The sequence below is a fragment of the Homo sapiens genome, chromosome 1 (assembly GCF_000001405.40).
Source record: "Homo sapiens chromosome 1, GRCh38.p14 Primary Assembly".
Taxonomy (NCBI): domain Eukaryota; kingdom Metazoa; phylum Chordata; class Mammalia; order Primates; family Hominidae; genus Homo; species Homo sapiens.
The window spans coordinates 83,557,633-83,581,289 of NC_000001.11; the positions used below are offsets into that span (position 1 = coordinate 83,557,633).

At 38.9% G+C, this 23,657-nt stretch overlaps 1 protein-coding gene, 1 long non-coding RNA gene and 1 pseudogene across 3 annotated transcripts in view; 2 read left to right on the forward strand and 1 right to left on the reverse strand.

The window, feature by feature from the left end:
- Positions 1 to 16,461, forward strand: part of LOC107985043 (uncharacterized) — a 57,359-nt gene extending 40,898 nt beyond the window's left edge. For both annotated transcript variants that reach the window (XM_047437626.1, XM_047437627.1), the window contains exons 3-4: positions 14,122 to 14,182; positions 16,188 to 16,461. In XM_047437626.1, coding sequence (XP_047293582.1) covers positions 14,122 to 14,182; positions 16,188 to 16,334 — 208 coding nt within the window. In that variant the 3' untranslated portion in view covers positions 16,335 to 16,461. The remainder of the gene's footprint in view (positions 1 to 14,121; positions 14,183 to 16,187) is intronic.
- Positions 15,090 to 15,984, forward strand: ARF4P5 (ARF GTPase 4 pseudogene 5; annotated as a pseudogene).
- A 1,693-nt stretch (positions 16,462 to 18,154) lies between the features above and the next one.
- Positions 18,155 to 23,657, reverse strand: part of LINC01725 (long intergenic non-protein coding RNA 1725) — a 285,210-nt gene continuing 279,707 nt past the window's right edge. The window contains exon 3 of the long non-coding RNA NR_119375.1: positions 18,155 to 21,040. This is a non-coding gene — a long non-coding RNA (long intergenic non-protein coding RNA 1725). The remainder of the gene's footprint in view (positions 21,041 to 23,657) is intronic.

Genomic DNA, 23,657 nt, shown 5'->3' on the forward strand with positions numbered 1-23,657 from the left:
GACTCCAGGAGAGCCAGGGAGACAGAGTGGGAAAAATGCAGGCTGCCATGCCTGGGTTTGAATCCCAACTCTAAGTCCCTCTAACAGACTTCCCTTAAGCAAGTTACTTAACATCTCTGATGCTGTTTCCTTAACTGTAAAATATGCATAATGGTGCTCGCCTCCCACCAACTAGAATTATCTGAGGACACAGGTAAATAAAAGATGTAGAGCTATAGTTGCAGGACCATAGAAAATGAGGCAGTTATGATTTAGACTAGCTTGGGAAAGAAAGTTAATTCGTTATAATTTCCATTCTTGGTGGTTTTAAAGCACAGCCTTAATACTCTTTTGTAATACACCAGTTTGGTTTGGCTAAGTAAGACACTTCAAAGAATATGTTTTACACATGTTTGAAACAAAGGCATTAAGGAATGTGGCAGGGAGATAGGAATCTCCTGAAAGTGTAAGGAGCAAAGAAAATCTAATTCACCATTAAAGAAAGCACATAACACTTCCATTCATATCGCACAAATAAAATAAAACTCCTTCCAGAATCCAGGCACCAATGACATAGTGGTCCGGAATTTCATCTTAGGATTTGAGAAACAGGGACTTGAACAAGCTGAACAATTCTTTGACATGCATAGGTGTAGAAAACCTAAAGGAAACCTTGAAATCCAGAGGAAGAGTTGGAAGAGGTTCATGTCAATCTTAATTTAAGAAACCTAACCACATTTGTAACTGAAGAAGCCATGAACACACAAAATATGAAATTTTCTAAAATGGAACTTTGTTTGACGGGATTTAACCTTGTCTATTTTTCTTGTGGTCTTCTGACATTTTTGCAGTACATGATCAAAGACCACCCCAAGACTTTTTCTCCCCAAATTTAGAAACGATTATAAGAAGCAACTAATTTATGGCTGTAAAGACCAAGTACATGTTTCATATGGCATAATTAAAACTAGGTCAATGAGAGAAAAGAATGAGAGGCAGAGAGGTTGTCTAAATATTACACTGAAAAATGACAATCTACCTTCAAACAATTCTTCTACCATTTCTCTAGCCATGTCCTCCATTTTTGCATTTAAAGAATATTCAGTTTCCAAGATACCAGGTTTTCCAGCCATCTCCTAGGTTAGTGTGCCAAATGCTACAGATGGAGCTAAATAGATCTGTGGTAATTTACTATTCTCTACAGTCAAAGGGCAAATGTATCTCCTGCCTTTACTGTAGCCCTCTGGAGCATGCTCTGCACTTACTCTCTGGCGTGAGTTCCCTCTGATAACCAGGCAGGGCTCACTGGTAGGGTGCATATGCAGAAAACTCCAGGCTACAGATCAGAGAGGAGAATTCAGTCCAGGCCCAGCTGGGCATTCCAAATTGAGGGGGGAAAAAAGCAAAAATAATATCAACAACTGGGAGAAATGCCCTGATTCTGCAAGTTCAGGGTTTTCAAATCTTCTAGGAATTACATCCATATCTCTGATGTGCTCTGTGGTGGATGAGGCAAGGCAAAGTAGCAACTAAGGGAATAGGGGCCACAAGAAAAAGAAAAATAACTGAAGGAAATCATACAAACGTCTGATTCTGTTCCAGAAAGTCACTCTTGTGAAGCTCACGGGGCATTAAGAAGAATGGTTTGTGTGCTTCGTTTGAGTTGGCTCAGCTGCATGGGGGAAAGAGGAACTAATTGCATAAACTCTACCAAGTGTCTGGTAGCCTGACATGTTTTTCCCCTTGTCCTTCCCACACTCACCCCTTCCTACAGCCACAGTTTCAACCCCCACATCCTCTAATCTCCTTTTAGCTCCTTTCTGGAATGGAGAGTGACATTCATGCTGAATGTGTGACTACCTGGCAACAACATCCAAGCTTCGCTATAATTGATCATCTTCCAGTCAACACTTTGGGCCTTGGGCAAAGCTTGCCTGAGATGTGGCCCTGAATCCTGTCAGAGCAGTGTCACTGCTAACACCTAGGATAGACGCACCACCAGCAGACCGAATTCTCCAGCAGGCCATTTATCAGTTCCAACCATTTCTATAGCTGACAAGCAAAGAAAGACGTTTCTAAGTGACTGATTCAGTTATGCATGTCTTTCAACACTTTCTGTTTTGAATGGTCTGTTTTAGTAGGGTTTGTGGCACTTGATGGCCCTAAAACCACAAATGCCTGAAGTACTTTTCTTTGAAATAATTTAGGCATTTTCTTCCTAGCAAGCTGCAGAAAGTGCAATTACAAAACATGCCTAAGGGATAGATCTTCCTAGGCATATAAAAATAACAATTTCTCCACAAAAAATCATCTTTCCCACACACTCCATCCAGCCTTGGGAAACAGTGCTTCAGGCTGTTGTGATAGGAGGGTCTGAGGGACCTTATTCTTCCCAACTTGCTTACCCACCCTGAGAGTCCCCTCATAATACTTCAATTTGCTTCCTTTCCCCCATTTAGAATCCTTCCTGAGCTCTTAGGATCAAGATGATCCTCAGGATGCGGCTTCAGGAATCCGTGTGATGTGGACTAGGCCTGTCTCTCTCCATTGCCAGTAAGCTCTCCACATGGCTTTATTCCAGGGTCTTAAACTAACCAAGCCTGTCCTGCCACGGAGCCTTCTCACAGGTCATCACCATGCCTGGGCTGAACTTCCCTCCTCCCAACCCCTACCATCTTTGAACTTACCTTGGAGATCAAATAATCACTTTTAGCAGGCCTTTCCTGACTCCAAAATAAAGCAGACTCCTCCCTGAATTCTCCACAGGTAACTCTCTTTCTGCTCCAGTAGCTTTTGTCACACTTTACCTTCTTCCTCCAGAAAGAGACCCCTGAGTACAGGAACTGTGTCTGTTGCATTCGGTGCTGTACTTAGCACTTAGCTCAGTGCATGGCACCAAATAGGCCCTGTATTAGTCTCCTATGGCTTCCATAACAAAATATCATAGTCTGGGTGGCTTCAACAACAAGAACATATTTTCTCAGAGTTCTAGAGGCCAGAAGTCCAAGGTCAAGGTGCCATCAGGGTTGGTTTCTGGCAAGGCCTCTCTTCCTGCCTTGTGACTAGCCTTCTTCCTGAATCCTCCTGTGACCTTACCTCTGAGTATGCATGCAGGGGGAAGCGAGACAGAGAGCTCTCTGCTGTCTCTTTCTTTTCTTAAGAGGCCACCAACCCTATCAGATTAGGACCCCACTCTTTTTTTCTCTTTTTTTTTTTTTGAGACGGAGTCTCGCTCTGTTGCCCAGGCTGGAGTGCGTTGGCGTGATCTCGACTCACTGCAAGCTCCGACTCCCAGGTTCACACCATTCTCCTGCCTCAGCCTCCCAAGTAGGTGGGACTACAGGTGCCCGCCACCACGCCCATCTAACTTTTTGTATTTTTAGTAGAGACGGGGTTTCACTGTGTTAGCCAGGATGGTCTCGATCTCCTGACCTCGTGATCCACCCACCTCGGCCTCCCAAAGTGCTGGGATTACCAAAGAACCCCACTCTTATGACCTTTTTAACCTTAATTACCTCCCAAAAGGCTCTATCTCCAAGTATAGTCACATTGGGGTTAGAGCTTTAACATATGAATTTGGGCAGGGAATGGGGAAAGACACAATTCAGTCCACAATAGGCCCAGGATACATTATCAGTTGAGTAAATGGCTAAACGAATGAATGGTTTCTCATTCCAAGTTTTTTTCTTACTAAGGAGATTATTGGCTCGTTACGGCAGAAACCCTGTCTTTCTTCCCCCCAACACCCTCACAGAACCTGTCACATAGTGCATATTTAATACATATTAGCTGGATTGAGTTTGGGTTCAAACTTTAAGGCAAAGCTGCCCTGTGAGAATACAAGTATGTGCGAGTCCGTGTGTATATTTGTGTTTGTGGGTATTTTCATTACAAATAAAATGTAACTTAATGACTTCCTTATGATCATACAGGAAACTAATTCTAAACTTCTAGGCAGACAGCAAGTAAGCTCCAGCTTAAAGACCAGTTAAAGAACAGAAGCAAATGAGCTGCTTGCAAATTCTGGGCTGCTTAATTCCTTTCCCCCTTATAGTGACAGTGCTTTCTCTGTGAAGTAATTTTCTTTTGATAAAAGGAGATCAGGTCCCCTGACCCAAGAAAGAAATGAATTAGTGATTTCTCTGCCTGAGAGTTGACAAACAGCCCTTACATCTCTATTCCCTGGTCTCCAGCAGTGAAACAAATAGACTCTGAAAATAATCTTCTTCTTTTTTTTTTTTCTTTTTTTTAAGAGGTTGGGGAATGAGAAAATTCCTGTTGAGTTAGACTTCTGGAAAAGTCTTCAATTTGTTTTTCTTCATGAGGACATCAGTGGCCTGTTGTCCACACACACCTCATATGCAGAAGCTCAAATGTCATTTCCCCAGCCAGCAGTGCCAGACTGGCAGCAAAGTGAGTGCCTCGTCTCCAGAGGCCCACTCACTAGGCACCTTTCCTCTGCCACCTATGGTTGTCATCCACACTCAGTGCTCTCCAGGCCTCTGAGAGCTCTGCTCAGATTTGCTGCTTCCAACTCTAAACTGGCAGGTAGCTAGGCATCTTGAGAGGATATTTCCCTTTACTTAATCTGAATGTGCTTCTTTCTACCTTTACAGAAGAAGAAAGCAAGTGAAGGTTCTACCTTCTCCCTACCTCATCCCCTTCTTCAATGGGTCCTTTTCATAAGATTATGTTTCATGGATGGCATTAAGCAAGACTTCTAATCTGGTTGCTGCCAGTCTCAGAACTTTTAGATTCTTTCTGGTGAGTGCTTGTGTAGACTGACTCTTGCTTAGCTTGTTACTGATTTTTCTCAAGAAAATGTGCATCAAAGAATAGGAATTAGCATACATTTGTAGAATATCTGGCAGAATAAATTAATAATATAAGTTGTAATAATAACAATAATAAATAAATAAAAGGTCATGTAATGTGACCATTTTAATACAATAAAATACTTCCTAAGACTGTTTATGAAAAACACTGGGATCTACACAAATTTACAAAAGCATTCCACACACCACAAACCCCTGAAATATTACCCTTGACAAAAAAACCTGGAGCACAAATCGAAAGCTTATTATGTCACACTTCATGTCTCCGGATCTTACCTCTGATTCCCACTGTAGCTGCGGCAATCTGTGAGAATTCCTGTGACAAAGTGTCATCTCAAGTGCCTGCTGAGCGCCTGTAGCTTTATGCCATGGAATTTCCCATCTCTAAGAATGTTCCAGTGTCACTGTATAGAACACTGGTATTGTCCAGGTGTCTACTTGCCACATACCCATGTGCCACCCAAAAGAATAAGGCACTTAACATCCCCATCAGGTGACCTTTAATGGGGAATGGAAACCAGTGAGGAAGTGATTTCCCCTATCAATGGTTAGGTGGATAATTCTAAGAGACATTCTATTTGCTCCTCCAAAGGATCTAGCAGAATCAAACCCATGGTGCCCATGGACATAACCAACTGATACTATTCCCTCATATTGGCTTCCTCCTTCCCTCTTTCCCTCTCTCTTGCACCTCACTCCTGCTCCTGGACCAGGTTCTACTACTTACCAGGCAGGCATGTGACTTTGGTCAAGCTACTTAACTTCTGTATTCCTCAGTTGCATGATGGGTAAAATAAGGATAATACCAGCACCTACTCCATGGGATTTAATGAGTCGACACCTGCAAAGCCTTTATAAGTGTCAAGTACAATAATAAGAGCTCAACAAATATTAGCTAAAAGGAGAGGACATCCAAGTGAAAGCAAGGAACTATGAGGAACCACAGCAAGTAGGAACCTGTCATGTCAGTTACTTCCTGTGGATATAACCTAGGGTCTTGGTGGAAAACGGGGGACATGTGGCTGGCAATACAGCCAGGAGTTCATCAGGAACAGATCACAGAGGCTGTTGTAGGCTCTTATGCTAAGAAACTCACCCTTTCTCCTAAAGGCAATATAAAAGTGTTGACAATTTTGAGCAGGAAAGTGGTGTGATCAGATTTCTGGTTTCAAAAGATCATTCTGGAGGGTGTAAGGTGATGACTAGGGAGAAGTGAAATATATCATGATGATAAAATAGAGCCAAATTATATCCACGCACTAGGCGATGCAGCCGGGCCGGAAGGTTCAGTCCGTTTTCACCAGCTCTGCTCCTCCCAGTTGGTAGATTACCCTAAAGGAAAAAGTTGATGACGTTTTTGGGTTTTTTTTTCTCCAGTGCCATTTTTAAATGATGAAATTATGGCCTTGAGATATGTAGTAGTATTCCCTTAATACTGTGACAAATTACTACAAAGTCAGTGGCTTAAAACCACACCTATTTATTATTGTCTTGAAGTTTTGGAAGTCAGAGGTCTGAAATGGGTTTCACGGGGCTAAAATCACGGTGTTGGCAAGGCTTGCTCCTCCTGGAGACTCGACAGGAGATTCCACTCTTTGCCTTTTCCGGCCTCTCTAGGCCACTCCCACTCCATGGCTTGTGGCTCCTTCCGGCACCTACCAAGCCAGTAGCCTGACATCTTCAGACCTCTCTTTGACTCTTATTCTGACACCCACTCTCCTGCCTCCCTCTTCACTTCTAAGGACCCTTGTGAGCACACCTGGATAACCCGGGATGATCTCCCCATCTCAAGAGTCTTGACTTACTCACATCTGCAATGTCCCTTTAGCCATGTAAGGTAACCGTATTTACCAGATTCCAGGAATTAGGATGTAGACATTTGGAGAGGGTGACGTTGTTCTGCCTACCACAGGATGTGAACAATAGGTCAATGTTTCTGCTATTTTCTTTCAAGTGCCCCTGATGTCCATATTTGCCATCAGCTAATTCCACCCAAGCAGGCCCCACTATGTGTAAGGCTTGTAAAAGGGAGAGCAGGAGCCCCAGAATCAGTTCAAGGGAGTTTATGAAGACAGACAACTGGTCAGGCTGGGAGACAGAGTGTGGAGAGAGACATAAACTCGCTTCATTTCTCCCAAAGCCCTCTCTTCTAAGACTTTTACTGTTTAGGCAATTCCCATAAGATACCTACAACAACCCTTTCCATTTTGCAGATGGAAAAACTAATGCTGAGGGAATTCAAAGAACACACCCAAGGTCACAGCAATTCCCTAGCTGAGCAGGGCCATCAATGGCCCCATTTGTAACATCCCCAAAGCACATTTGCTCTTATCAGGGCTTAGTTCTTAAGTGTTTGAATTTATCCAGACCCTATAGTGATGCATTTAGAATACAGTCCCATATCAAAAAATATACAATTTTCACTTTAATTTAAAATGAGCTTAAAGTAACCACTATAATTATCTCCCTGGTATTTATGAGTCATTTAATAAAAACTTGTTAGACTCTCAATGGTCCTATCCCTCGCTCTGGGCCCCTCGCTCCCCCCGTCCATCTTTTCATGGCCGGCAAAGGTCTCAAAACAGATCAGATCATTGGAGCTAAAATACCTGGGGGGTTTAAAAAACACTTTAACATATCCGTATTTTTGCCAGAATATATTAATATACAAAATATGTGAGTTTTCTGAGACCTTAAACGGAGGCAGCTGATCTCCTCACTTTTTTATTTCCTTAAGTTGTTTTTCTTCCCGTTGCTCTCATCTCTAGCACAGAACATAAAGTTTTCCCAGCTACTATAAGCTAAGACAACTACTGAATCTACGTTCCCCTTATTGTGACATCCACAAATGCATCTTAATAAACCTGGGCACATCCCTGCCCCTGTTGCTACTTCTTTGATATCGGAGTAGAAGTTTTGCTGTGGAGCAAAATGTCTCAGTGTGAATCACCCCCTGAGGTGAAGCCAGTATTCAGAAGAATGACAGGGGCCATGGCAGATGCCGTTCTGTACATTTTGAGAGAAATCATGTCAATGCTACATCAATTAGGCTCTTGTTTCCATCATGCAGAGAACTAGGAGGTAAAGCAAATCAGCTAGCTTTCCAGAGTACGTTGTTCTTCTGAGAAGCTGTTCAAAGTTTTACTTTTTTGCTTTTTAGTTTGTTATAATGTTTGTCCAATTGGAAGGTGAGCTATAAGAACTCAGCTGAGTTGGAACAAATAAAGTGTCCTTTATGGCCCTCTCCTGGTTCTCTGTGGGGAGCTAGGACAGTGACAAGGTGATCAAATGTACTCGGTGCCAGAGAAAGGGCATGCTTAAGACTGAAAGGAATCTGTTGACAAAAGAGAAAAACACGTCAACCAATTTTTCTTTATAAAAAGAAGAGATAATTGATCTTTTTCCCACATCCCTTAGGGACCATATAGAAATAGACAAAAATTGTCATTTTGGGAGTGGAAAAAAAGACTACTTGAGTTTGCCAGAGGTCAGGGTCTGAGCATTATCCTTCCAGGAACCCTGAGTGCCTCAAAGGTTGCCAATGATCCATAAATGTTAGTTTAATGGGATTGAATTAAATTGTATTGAATTATAGATATTGAAAAAAGAGGCAGTTCTACATGGCAATGGCATTATTGAGATATAATCTGTTTGAGGATAATCTTATATGGCTGTTCCATATTGCATTCAAATTTTCAATTCTACCAGTGTTGAACTCTAAGAGATTATGGATTCTGAGAACCACAAATTCCACCCCAAGAAGAAGAAAGCAACCACTTACTCCAAATAAAAAAAAAAAAAACTAACCAGGGGGACCACCACCACCACAATATGCCTGATACCTCTCCTGCCTGCCCCATGAGGCTCTGTCTCCCAACAGCCTTCATGGGACTTTCAACCAAATATTTTGTAAATGCTTAAAGACTGCGAAAAAAATCAGAGAGATAGAGAACAATACAAACACACACATATACACACCAGTACCACCATATCATACAAAGATCGAAGAGCCAAAATTAAATTTTGTTTTCCTACCAGGATCCAAGTTTTATGATGTGCCAGTTTGACTGCATGACATTTTTCAGGCAGCACTCATCCTTGGGCCAAATACACTTTTGATGTCTCCTACTTTGGACCAACCACTTTTGATGTCTCCTACTTTGTAAGTCAGAAAATCAGGCAATAGCAAATTCATCAGGAAGATGACCTAAGTCTACTGAGTGCTTGCTGTGTAGAAGTGTTATTCTCTGCACTGTTGAAAAGTTATCAAAGAACTAGAGGAGAAATTATCTTCCATGTAGTATCACATGGTAGATGGAGCACTGGAATTGGGGCAAGAATATATGGGTCACCTTCCCTCATTATCAGATAGATCATCCTAGTCCATTTAATTTAACATTAATTCTGCCTCACTAAAATTACACTTAAAATTGTGATAAAGATCAAATTGCATGAGATACAATGTTTGAAAGCACATTGCAAACTGTAAAGTACACGTGAATGGCAGTGTTTTAGTATTTTTAAAATCCAATTAGGGAGACAACTCAAATGTACCACATTGTGAACATTTGGAGGGCTGGAATTGTGTCATATTCCCTGATATGTCTCCAGTGCATAACACAGTTTCTGGAACTTATAACTATTTGATTAAAAAATTGATGAGTATTTAATTAATAAGTGATGTGACAATAGTTACAAATAAAGTATTACAAGTATAATAGCATAAATAGTACAAATAAGTCATGAGGGCATGATCTCAAAGATAGCTCCTGAAGGGGACAAAGAAAATGGAAAGGAATAATGTGATGGGGGGAAGGAAGAAAAGGAAGTGCAGATGGAAAAATGGAGCAGAGAGATTTTAGAACAAATACAGCATGTGCTGGAGGTGGAAGAGGGACAGGCTTGCCTGGAGCAGAAAGGCTGACTTAGGAGTAACGAAAGATGAAGTTTTCAAAATCATAGAAATAGGAAAAAGGATAGTGTAGGGTTAGGTGATGGAGAGCCATAAATGCCAAAGTGAAGCATCCTCTGTTGTTGGTCGGACTGGACACATAGAGAAATAAACAGTGTATAATAAATATTTTATGAACCTCATAATCTAGCAGATGCAATTGGTCAAATAACTTACTAGTGATGAGGAGCTGGATACAAGCCCTAAGGAGGCGATTGAAACTAACTTAGTGTCATCCAGGTGGCCTTTCATGAAGGAGGTGGCTCCTGAGCAGTGTTTGAGCCATAATGCCACAGACTGAAGTTGGCACAGGGAGTGTGGATAGTGTGGAGTCAGGAAAGTCATGATGACTTTGGTTTTAAAAAGAAATATGGCTCTTGAGTAGGACAATTGTCCAACTTCTCCTTCACTCATCAAGCTTTACAAATTCATTCCACTTTAAATTCTTCCTCTGGGCTCCTACATCATATGGTAATACACTCACTTAGATGTTCCTTCCCTCTTTCACTGCTTACTTAAATATATTTTAGTCTTATCTCCTGCAAGCAGAAAATAAATGTTTAAGAGCCCTTTCCTTGCACTCTAAAGTCATGTCTGCCAAAAGCCTCTGCATTTAAGTCAGCAAGAAGAACCCACACATAACTCTCCAGTATACTAGACAGTAGGCCTCTCACTCCCATCTGTTTGCAGCAATGTCCCTGGACCCTCTGGCTGTCATTCTGAACCTGTTGCCACTTGGAGCCATCCCCATCTGGCCCCATCTCTTAGCTCTGACACATCTCCCCATCCTTTTCTCATCCTTTGGAGATCACACTTACATGTGGACTCTTAGCTCCTGACCTTCGGCTTCTGGCCCAGGACCCTTGTTATAATCCTTCTCCCCGCAGATACCCTGACTCTGGCTGTCCTGGGTGATTATCCACTCCCACCCACCAGCCTCACATGGCCCATCTTCTAGCCCTGATCTGCCAATGATCTAATATGCTAAAAGCATATTAGCCAGGACTTAACACAGCACCAGGACACAGAGCAGATTCTTAATAAGTATTTTACATAATTTAATGAATTAATTTAAAAAGATGTTTGGCGATATTTTTTTCTTCTGGCAGCTGTATAGGTTTCTATAGATTGAGGATATAATGCATGTCCACCAGCATTTTTGGGCATTGACAACACCCCATCCTTTAGTGAGACCCACCCTCCAAATTCAAAGAACATTTCGTTTGACCTCTGCAGAGACAGCTTCCTTTGAGGGGCCCATGTACCAAGGGCAAAACTATAGACACGTGAACTGCATCTTAAGCACGGCACATGGTGAGAACTCTGTGTAACTTCCCCGTAAGTTAGACATGTACTTATAATGAAAGGTTTGTGAGTTCAGAAAGCCCCGGGGTATTCGAAAAGACAATTCGGCTTCCTGTCTGGGAAGAAAATGACAGCTCCCCTCACTGGGATTAAGCTTCAGATGTTCAAGTGCAAAAAGAGAAAACTTCTGAGTAATGTATTGGACCCACTGCAGGAAATTTGGTGCCTCGTGAGCATTACCCTGTGGAATCAGATGTCTAATGTATTGACAGTGCACAGAGGTGTTGGGTATCATTTCAGGAAAGGACGATGCCTTTCTCGCTCCAGGCATCACCACAGAGGCTGTACCTACACCCGCTCATAGAAAGATGACAGCACAGCCAATCCACTCACCTTCCACGAACAAGTGTTGTTCCTAAAGATTTTCCAGGCTGCTCCCTTTCCTTCCAGTTCTACCTCCACCTGAGTCTCAGCCACCCTTACACCTCCATTACACAGCTGCAGCCACTTTCAAACTGGTTTCCCTACCCCAGAATTCACTCCTTTCAAATGTGTTCTCCTTGCACCCCAGAAAGTGATCTAAAACTCAAATTTACTTGGTGCTCCGCTAAAAATCTTTCAGTGGTTCCCTGTTGCCTGTAGAATAACAACCAGGCTCCTTCTCGCGGCATGAAGAGTTTTCTCTGAGCTGGCTTCTGCATACTTCCAGAGCCTTGTCTCCCCACCCACTCCCTACCCCACTTTTTGCCTTCTCCTTTTCATTCTAATGGTATTGAACTATGTTTAATTCCAACCACAGCATGATATTTGGAACCACCAAACTTGTGCTTATGCTATTTCCTCTGCCTGCAGCACTTTTCTACTCCTTTTTTGCTTGGATAACCCACTTTTTTCTTCAAGATTTAGCTCAGATCCTCCAGAAAAGGCCCTCTGACCCTGATCAGCCTTGGCTAGATGTCTTATTTCTCTGTGTCCCCTTCCACCCTGTAGTCCCTAGTATCTGAGCACTCTCCTGTTTCTATGCTTGTTTTCCCCCATTTCACAGGTAATTTCTATGCCATACACTGCTTTGAATCCCAGGAAGAACACTTAAATCAGAGCATAGCCTCATGAGTATAGGCAACCCCAAATAAGATCCTCCAAGTTACATGATTTCCAAGCTATTTGGCACCATAGTGACCCCTGAAAAAACATTTCTTGAATAAATGAATGTAAGTACATTTCCCAAGCATTTGCAGGCAACAAATAAAAAGACACAAAGCCTGAACAGATGTTGGATTTAGGTAAAGTGGAGTTAATAGCTAATACAAACAGGTAAATAAGGACAGCTAGGATTCTAAAATAAAATGAACCATAAGAAAAACTAGGGCAATACTTTGTAAGGAAGGATTTAGTGTTTTCAAATGACAAAGAACTACAAATTAAAATTCTTGAAAATAATAGTATAATCTTTAGGTTTCTGAAGAATAACTTCAGTGTCTTCTACAAACCTCTAGAATATTGATTTATTGTATTATTGACTGCTAAAGGGAGAACTGACCCTGGGGAATGATTTAATGATAGTCTCCAAAGAGTCTCAGAAGTATCACTTGTTCATGAAAATGGGAATTTGAAAAAGAAGAAGCTGTAGATATAAATTATGTAGTATTTGGGTGCTTTTAATGCTATGCTTCACAAAAGGCTAAGGTAATAAGAAGAGAACAGAGAAGCTTTTGATTAAATAACAAAGCTGGATCAATATTTAAGGGACTGTGTATTTATGAGTGTGGGCACCTAAAAGGGAGAGAGAGGACTAGAAAAATTTAAGGCTCAGCATTAACGAGGATTTAGTTCATTTTGTTCTGTAAAGGTCAGTGGTAAGAAAGACATGCAAGATCAGCCTCTCCTTTCCCCATACTGAAGCCACTCCTGAGTTCTAAATTGTCACTTCTGAGATCTGCATTAATTATCACAATAGACCCCCTGCCTCAGTCTCTTTGTTTTGTTATAACAAAATACCTAAGATTGGGTAATTTATAAAGAATAGAAATTTATTTCTCACAGTTCTAGAGTCTGGGAGTCTAAGATCAAGGCACCAGTGGGTTTGGTGTCTGATGAAAGCCCCTGGCTTCCAAGATGGTGACTTTTTGCTGCTCCTCCACAGTGGAGGAATGCTATGTCTTCACATGGCAGAAGGGACAGAGGGTAAAAGGAATGAACTCCCTCTGTCATGCCTTTTTATAAGGGCACCTAATCCCATTCATGACAGTGGAGCTCTCATAACTCAATCACCTCCTATAGGCCATACCTCTTAATACCATTGCATTGAGGATTAAGTTTCAACATGAATTTTGGTAAGGACAAAAACATTCAAACTGTAACAACCACTTCCTTAGAATCACCCTTTACTAGGATGAATTGTACCACCAGGCACTGAAGGGGATGTGAATAAATATGTAATTTACAGATTGGAAGATGCTTTGTCACCAGAAGAAGCCCATTTAGTGAAACAGATATAATATTCCAGGAACATTCAGGACTGTGTAAGGCAGAGCATAAAGAAGCCAAGCTGGTGGCACTCACTCTTTTTCTACACTGCACAACTCCTGATAGTCCCAGCAAAGCACAGGCAACAGTGGAAACCATTTTGAGTAAAAAGTCACCTGCCAGTATCCATTTTTACTTCAAATTCATACTTGGTCTGATAGAAGAAATCTCCTAGATATTGGCCACTTTGCCAGCTCAGAAGCATTCATAAACTTTAAGATACTAACAGACCGAGCATACCATCAGTGTGGAATCAAATAGTAAGCAGTAAATAAAATCTGGGTATTGTTATATGGGTTTCACACTGGGCCCTCTGTGATCTCTCACTGGGCCACTTTTTATCAGTTTGCAAATTCTGGAAGTTATATCAGAACCAGGAGTCCCAAACTCGAATGTCCTCAGCAGACAAGCATGTAGCTTAAATGAATGAAGCATAGATACCAGACAATATGGGAAAACAGGAGCTTTGCAGGACTGGAGAACAAATGACTAATCTAATATTAATTTTCAACTTTTATTTTAAAGAAAAATACTGACTCTGCAAAACCAAATACATCTGGAATCCGAATCCTCTTGCAAAACTCTGGTATGTGACAAGCTCTGTAGCAGATAATTCCTAAAGTCCCTTCTAACATCATGTCTCTCTTCACAAATTTACGCCAATATTATAGAACAGTAGCATCTAAAATGCTTCAAGGGTCTGGGACCTACACTGACTGCAGATATCACACATATCTGCTTGATCAATCCCACCAGAGGCAAAAAAAAAAAAAAAAAAAAAAGAGCGAGAGAGAGGTGACATTTTGGGCTCAACAATAAATGCAAGACAAATTCAACAAAAAAAAAATCCCTAAAGTGGAAAATCTGGTAACAGTATTCAGTACTTGCTATGGTGATGCTCAACTTAGTCAATCAAGAGAAATGCTTTGGGTACACATCCTAGTCTTCACTGGGAACTACCAGAAAATAGAAAGGTTTTAGAGACTGAACACCTTCTTGGAAAAAAATGCATCAGGCAAACTCCAAAGCCAAAGCAACATGACTGAAAATATAAACTCATATATTCATTTAATGAGCACATATCAATCACCTATTTGGTGCTATATATAAGGTGTTCTGAGATCATAGACAAAGAACAAATTATTATTTGTGAGGAAGTCTAGGAAAGCTTCACAGTGAAAAATGATCTTCAAAATGAGGCTTTAAGGATGGATGAATGTTTGATGGTCAGACAAGCAAGGCAAGACATCCCAAGTAGAGTGAACAACATCAAACTAATGCAAAGAAGTAAGGAAACACAAGATGTGTTTGGGAAACATAGCTATGACTAGACAGAGACAACAGTATAACTTGGAGAAAAGAACATGTAATGTGAATCGAATATAGCTGTGTGACCTTGGGCAATTCATTTCTTCTCTCTGAAAAATATGTTTCAAGAAAAAAATATAATGTGATATCTATTTTACAAGACTGTTGTGAGGATTTTTTATTTTTTAAATATTTTATCATTTTATTAGTAATAAAAATAATTCCAAATGGGATATGAAGAAAATGTATTCATTGAATTTGATGAGATTTCTAAAAACTCTAAATGAAGTTATGTTCACCCAATAAACAATAAAACATCAGCAGAACTATCATATACTGAGCAAAAAATCAGGCTGATGCGAAAAGCAACATGCAACATTAGAAAGACACAATATAAAGGAAGACAATCTGCTGACTATTAAAGACCATCTGAATATGAACTCTGTGCAATCAGCACACAACTGTCAAATCCAAACCACCCCAAGGTAAGTTTGGCTGATGTAGGCCAGAAGTCAATATGGAGGAAAAAATAAGTTCCTGAGTGCAAGAGAGCTGAACAGTGTTTTGGAGCATTTCCCTGGCTGGCACAAGCAGTATTAGAAAACCTTTTTGGCAAGGGAGAGAAATAAATACAAATGAAATGTAACCCTTTTAAGTTAGCAGACTGTCTCAAAAAGGATAACGGTATCAGTAAAGTAACAAGGGAATAACTTTAAAACATTATTTGTTGTGGGTTCAAAAGATATTCAGAATGGATTCATTTAAAGTTTTCACAATAGCTATGTCCAGGCATTTGGGCTTATAGGAAGAAAGCATAAAAGAGGACACTTTTTTCCCAAGGAGAATTTCTTTAAAACCAAGCACATTGCTAAATAGCAACATTATACTTGGTAAACAATAACTAGCAACAAAATAAGTTTAATGTTCTGCCCAAACCAGTCCCAGATGCTGTTTAATAACTAAGATACAAATTAATTTTGTTGTAACAAGCCTAGACCAATTCTATCAAACATAGTTAGATATCTAGTTCCATTTAACATTTTGAAAGTTTGAAAGCTCATTTGACAGCCAGTCAAGCCCCACTGTGAGGATTTTTTTTAAAAACCTATAGTGTACGATAGTGGACAGTGTAGAATAGTTTATAAATTAAGTTAATAAGTCTTGATAAATTTATTTTTGTTATTATTGGTATAAATAGTTGATGAATTTCAAAACAAAACAAAACTTTACAGTTGTCACTATAAGTTATATTCTAATCTTGTCCTACATTATTAATCATGTAGAGCAGTGATATCCAACCTTTCTGGCACCCAGAGACCACCGGACCTCCTTTTCTACAATCAAGCCAAACCAGTTCCTGTTGTTGGTGCCAAGATAGACTACAGCTGGAAATTCCCCAAATGACCAACAGATCACCTGGTGCCAACTGACTGACCACCAGGAAGAGCGACTATTGACTTTGGGCTTAAAAGTCATCTAATCCACACTGTTTCTCACTCCCCTGACTACCCTCCTCTGCCCTGAGGTTTTTTTGCCTTTATAATCTCCTATTCACTGACCCTGCCTGAGAGCATGATTTCTTTTTACACCAGGGGCTGCATCTCCCCAATCTGCAAATTGTTTCTTATGGAAAATGAAGCTTTCTCTTTTCCTTCCACAGATCTCATGGTCTTTTGTTACAAGGAACCTGTCTCAAGACAGTCATACTCTGTTAATTCACTATAACACTAAGAACCTCAATGGAGTTCAGGTCTATGAGAATGATTCATTCATAACATCTATCACCTTAAAATTTATTGACTAGGGCCTAAGGCACAACTGCCTTGCCCTGGGCTGAATTCTACCCTAGGGCAGAGTTTTCGGTGGCCTCGGTGTACTCTTAGTAGTATTTCTACTAAAAAGCCAACATAGAGGGCATAGACTCCAAGCCTTAGAGACTCAAACAAGAAACAACATTTGACCATTCCATGCCCTCCAAATCTATTGGATGCCACCAAACAAAGGCAAAAAAAAAAGCAGATTTCATAACACGAAAAACAATATATTCTCTATCTTTCAGCATTGTGAGGGAAGGTGTCTGGTCTGGAATCATTTCTCAGTATAATGCACACCCCAAAGCAGCTTAACACAGCGGTAAGCCTAGATGAAAGCATTCATGTCAATTACATGGAAATGTTCTTTCACCAAGATTGAGAAGCCACACTTGGGACATTCAGTCCTCTAGACAAAATGTATTTGAAATGGAAACTGAGAAAGCAAAGAGAAGCATTTGTTCCTTTCCAGGTGAGAGGCAAGAGAAAGTCTTGTGTAAGATAGCTGCTAGAAATCCAGGCTGTTCTCTTCAGAACTCTCGTTCTCAGATTTGCTAGGGTCTTTCCTTTGGTAGAAAGAGCTGATTGCACTTCTAAAGGCAGCTTGACCTTTGCCCCATCCCACTAGCTGAATGAAACCAAGAAAGACTGCTTGAATGCTTACACCCCTAAAGCGGATTTGTATTTATAAAGTAGCCAAAGCTGTACTTGGCAATGATTTCACAAACAGAGAGACAAATTCACAGGAGTGAGAATAACTCTCTCACAAACTTTACCATACTTTACACTTTGTTGGGAAGTCAGCAGAGAACTTCACACTTCATTGAAAATCCATTAAACAATTACCAGGTCATTAGCACAGACTTTGAAGTACTAGCTTTCAAACTCCCTTACTAAAGAAAGCTCTTTGCTAGACCTTCAGCTGCCTTTGCAAGTGTAGTCCTAAGGAGCTTTAACAGATAACCAAAACAGACAAACATTAAAAAAAAAAAAAAAAGTGTACTCACTGAAAAATAAAACAAAGCATCATGCATGAATCATTTAATGAATCAATTATATAACAGTATATGTTACATAATACTGTCATATGTATTACTGTCTCTCAATTGTATCTGGATAAGTAAAGTAGATAATCCGTAAATGTTGGTTGATTCAGGAATATGTTTCCCTAGACAATCACAAACAACTACTGAGTGACTACCAAGGCTTTACTGCTTTTGTGCCAACCACCCTCATTTGTATCTCTAGCCCAGATCTCTTCCTTGAACACCAAACTAGCATTTTCTACTATTCACTTGGCATCTCATCTGGATGTCTACTAAACCTCTCAAACACAATATGCTCAAAACTGAACTCTTGATCTTTACCGAAACCTGCTCTCCACCTCAGGTACTGGCAATTCCATTCTTCCAATAGCTGAAATCAGTGTTTTTTTTTTCTTTTCGTCTTTACTGAAGTATAAAAGACAGATGATAAACTGCACAAATCTAAAGTATGCAATTTGAGAAGTTTTGATATATGTATACATGTCAAGACAGTAAACATATCCATCATCTGCAAACATGAAACTTGTCCTTGAGTCCCGTTGTAATCTCTCCTTCCTCTCCCTCAACACTTTCTCCCATTTCTCTTACGAGGCAACCACTGATCTGCTTTTTCTCACTATAGATTAGTTTGCATTTTCTTGAGTTTTATATAAATACAATCATACAGTATGTACTTTTTCGTCTCTGGCTTCTTTCAATCAGTATTAATTTGAGATTTGTTCATGTATTTGCATTTATCACTAGTTCATAATTTTTCACAGCTGGGTAATATTCCATTGTATGGATATGCACAAATTTGCCTATCCTTCACTATTAATGGACATTTGTTTCCTCGTTTTCGCCATAAAATAGCTTCTATAAGTTTCTAAGAGGCTAGTAGACAGGAGTATGTTTAAATTTCCAAGAGACTGCCAAACTGCTTAGCAAATGGATTGTGCCTTTTGATAATACCACTAAGAGTATCTGAGAGCTCCAGTTTCTCCACATCCTCCCAAACACTTGGTGTTGTCAATTTTTTAAAAATTTTGGCTATTCTAATAAGTGTGTTGCAACCGTACCAGAGTTCAACTACTCTCTCCACCCATTTCTGCTTCCTCACTTCCCTACTGGTGCAGTTCCTGAGAGTGCTCCCCAATAAAGTTCTTGTATGCAAATCTCCATCTCAGGAACTGGTTCTAAGTATTCATTGTGGATTTAATTTGCATTTCCCTAATTAACAATGGTGTTGAGCATCTTTTCCTATGCTTATTTGTCATTTTTATATCCTTTGTGGGATGTTTGTTCAAATCTTTTGTGCACTTTTTTTTTTTTTTTGAGACAGTCTCGCTCTTGTTGCCCAGGCTGGAGTGCAGTGGTGTGATCTGCACCTCTGCCTCCCGGGTTCAAGCAATTCTCCTGCCGCAGCCTCCTGAGTAGCTGGGATTACAGGTGCCCGCCACCACGCCTGGCTAATTTTTGTAGTTTTGGTAGACACAGGGTTTCACCTTGTTGGCCAGGCTGGTCTCGAACTCCTGACCTCAAGTGATCTGCCTGCCTCAGCCTCCAAAAGTGCTGGGATTACAGGTGTAAGCCACTGCGCCCGGCCCATATTTTAATTTTGTTGTTTGAGTTTTTTATTATTGAGTTTTGAGACTGTTTATATATATTAGGGATACAAGTCTTTCATCAGATATGTGAGTTAGAAATACTTTCTTCCAGTACGTGGCTTGCTTTCTTCTTTTCTTTATATTGTTTTTTAAGAGCAGAACTTTTTAATGTTAATGAAGTTCAACTTATCAATTTGTTGTTTCATAAATCAAGCTTTTGGTGCTATATCTAAGAACTCTACCTAACCCAAGGTCACAGAGACTTCAGAGATTTTCTCCTAAGTTTGAAGTTTTACATTTAGGTCCAGAATCTATTTTGAGTTAATATCTGTATATGGTGCAAAGTATGCAAGGTATGAATCAAAGTCATTTTTTTTTCTTTTTCATTCTTCTTTTTTGTTGGCATATGGCTAGCCAATTTTTCTACACATTATTTCTTGAAAAGACTTTTCTCCACTGAATTGCTCTTGTGCCTTCATCAAAAATCACTTGTTCATATATTTGTGAGTCTATTTCTGAGCTCCCTATTCTGATCTGTTTCTCTATATTTATGCAATATAATACTGCCGTGATTACTATAGCTTTATAATAATTTGAAATCAAGTAGTGTTAGTTCACCATCTTCATTCTTGTTTTCAACTTTGGTTTTGTTTTGGCTAATCTAGGTCCCTTACATTTCCATATGAATTTTAAAGTCTGGTTGCCAATTTTTACAAAATAACCTACTGAAATTTTTATTTGAATTCCATTATTTGGACAACTGACATGTTAGAAATATTGAGTCTTCCAACACATGAATAAGGCATGTATCTCTACTTAGTTAAGTCCTTTTAAATTTCTCTCAGGAATAGTTTGTAGGATGGGCAAAAAGAAACAGCTTTTCCTCACCCATCACTAGGTTCATGGCTAAGGCCCTTAAAACAAAAGACACATTAAGAAGGTAAAAGCATACAAATTTACTTAATATAAGTTTTATATAACATAGGAGCTTTCAGAAATGAAGAATCAAAGAAAGAGGATTTTATGCTAAGTTTGATGAAGAAGTGGATAGCAGAGGAGAAATATTATTGGACAATGAGGGTGTGATCTAATAGTAATAAACTTGGGGGAACTTAGAAAGGCCAGTTTGTTCAGTCTTCTCTGTGTTTCCGTGTCTTCAGAGTAAGGATTTTTCTTTCCTCTTGAATGAAGACCTTATGACTTGCTTCAGGGGAGAAGAGCTGGAGAAGGTCAGAGAGTGATCCTCCTAGGTTTTATTACTTTCTGAAGTGACAAGATGCCATATTTGGGGGTAGCATTTCCTGGACGCCATTAGTAGTTTTCAATGTACAGGTTTTGCATAATTTTGTCAAATTTATTCCTAAAGGTTTCATATTTTTATCCTATTATAAACTATACCTTTTATTTTAGTCTCTGATTGTTTCTACTACACAGAAGCAAAATTAATTTTGTATACTGAGATAGTATCTTGTATACTGGCCAACAGGTTCTTAGTTATAGTAGTGTTTTTACTAGATCAAATTTCATCTGATTTTCTAGATAAATAATTATGTTGCCTTTGAAGTAAGTCAGTGTTACTTCTTCTCTTTCAATATAGCTGCCTTTTGTTTCTCTTTCTTACCTTAAATCGCTGGCCAGACTTCTAGTACAATGTGGAATGGAAGCAGTAATTGCAGTCATCTTTGTCTTCTTCCTGATTTTAAGGGAAAACATTCAGTCTCTCAGTTATGTATGATGCAACTGTAAGTTTTTGGTAAATGTCCTTTAACCGGGTTGCGGAAATTCCCTCCTATTCCTAGTTTGCTGAGAGTTTTTAAAAATCAGGAATTGATATTGGAACTTGTCAATGCTTTTTCTACATCTACTGAGATGATTATGTTTTCCTTTTTCGTTTGTTAATATAGGAAATTGCATTGATTCATTTTCTAATGTTAAATCAATGCTGCATGCCTCAAAGTAAACTCCACTTAGTAATGATGTGTTTGTTAGCCTATATATACTGTTGGACTCAATTTGATAAAAATCTGTTCAGAATTTTTGCACTTATATTCATCAAGAATATTGGTTTGCAGTTTTTCTTTCTGAAATGTCTTTTTCTGGTTTTGGTATCAAGATAATGCTGGCCTCATAAATTGAAAAGGAGAGACTCCTTTTCAATTTTCTGAAAGAGTTTGAGTAGAATTGATATTATTTCTTTATTAAAATGGTTTGTAGTATTCACTAGTGAGGCTATATCTCCTTGGACTTGTCTTTGTGGAAAAATTTTAAACTATGAAATCTATTTTTAAATTAATATAGGAATATTCAGATCATCTCTTTTTTCTGAGCAAGCTTTGTGTTCTTCAGGAATTTTGTCACTTTCATCTCAATTGTGGTGTTTATTATCATATAACTGGTCATAATATTTCTTTATTATATTTTTAATATCTGTGTAATCTGTAGCGATTACTTCTGTAATTTGTACATTGTAATTTGAGACTTCTCTTTTCTCTCTTATAAATTTGGGTAGAGGTTTATTAATTTTTTTTTTTTTTTTTTTTTCTTGAGATGGAGTCTCACTCTGTCACCCAGGCTGGAGTGCAGTAGTGCAATCTTGGCTCACTGCAACCTCCCACTCCCACTCGTGGGTTCAAGCGATTCTCCTGCCTCACCCTCCTGAGTAGCTGGGACTATAGGGGTGCACCACCATGTCTAACTAATTTTTTTGTATTTTTAGGAAAGACAGGGTTTTACCATGTTGGCCAGGCTGGTTCGAAACTCCTGACCTGAGGTGATCCACCCCCCTCCACCTCTCAAAGTGCTGGGATTATAGGTGTGAGCCACTGCACCCAGCTAGGCAGAGGTTTATTAATTTTATTGATTTTCTCTGAGTAACCACTTTTAGTTTCAGTGAATGTTTCTGTTTTCTATTTCTTTGGTTTCTGCTTTGATAATTCTTTTCTTTCATCTGCTTATTTTGAGTTTATTTTTTTCTTTTCTAATCCTTAAAGTGGGAGCTGAGATCATTGATTTGATACCATTCTTACTGTCTAATATGGGGATTTAGTGCTATAATTTCTATCAAAGTACCATTTAGTGGTACCCCAGAAATTCTGATATGCTGTGCTTTCATTTCATTTAGTTCAAACATTTTTTAATTTCTCTTTTGATTTCTTCTCTGGTCATTGGTTATTTAGAAGTATGTTATTAGTTTCCAAATATCTGTGGATTTTTGCAGATATTTTTGTTGTTAATTTCTAATTTAACTCAATTTTTGTCAGAAAGAAGTACTTTCTGTGACCTGACTCATTTTAAATTTATGGAACATTGTTTTATAGCATTACATATTATCTATCTTGGTAAAAATTCTGTGTGCAGTTAAAAAGGATGTATGATCTGCTCTTGTTGGAGAGAGTGATCTGTCAATGTCAACTAGGTCAAGTTGGTTGATAGTGTTGTTCAAACCTTCCACATTCTTACTGATTTTCTGTCTAACTTTTTATGATTTCTTAAGAGAACAATGTTGAAATAATTGAGAATTTATCTATTTCTCCTTGAAGTTCTATCAGCTGCTGCTTCATGTATTTTGAATCATTGTTATTAGGGGCATAAATATTTAGGATGATTATATTTTCTTGATAGACTGACACCTTTATCATTATGAAATGAATTTCGTAATGATATTATGAAGTAATATTTCAAGCACTGAAATCTACATTTTCTGAAACTACTATAGCTCCTCCAACTTTCTTTTGATTAGTGTTATTAAGGTATACCTTTTTTCCATTATTTTACTTTCAATTTACTTACGTCTTTATCCTTAAAGTTCATTTCTTGTAAGCAAAACATTGTGTCTCACATTTTTATGCAATCTGAAATTCTCTTCTTTTAATGGGGGGTCGTAGACCATTTACATTTAATATAATTATTGATATGACTAGATTTACATTTATCATCTTGAAATTCTTTTGTCCCCTTTGTCTGCTTGATTTGCCTTCATCTGTCTTAATTACTTTTTATGATTTTATCTTCTTGTTTTTGATTAACTATAATTGTTTGTCAACTTTAGTGGTTTGTTCAGCATTTTTAGTACATATATTAACTCATCACTGTCTACCTTCAAGTGATGTTATACAACTGTACATATTGTATAAAACTTTTAGTGAAAACAAAAATATAAATAAATAAAAATAAATAAATAAAACTTAGAGTAGCACATTACATGTCTATCCTCTTGGTATTTGTGCTATTGTCATATATTTTGTTTACTCATATGTTATAAACTCCACAATACATTGTTATGATTGTTGTTTAGATAACTCATTATCTTT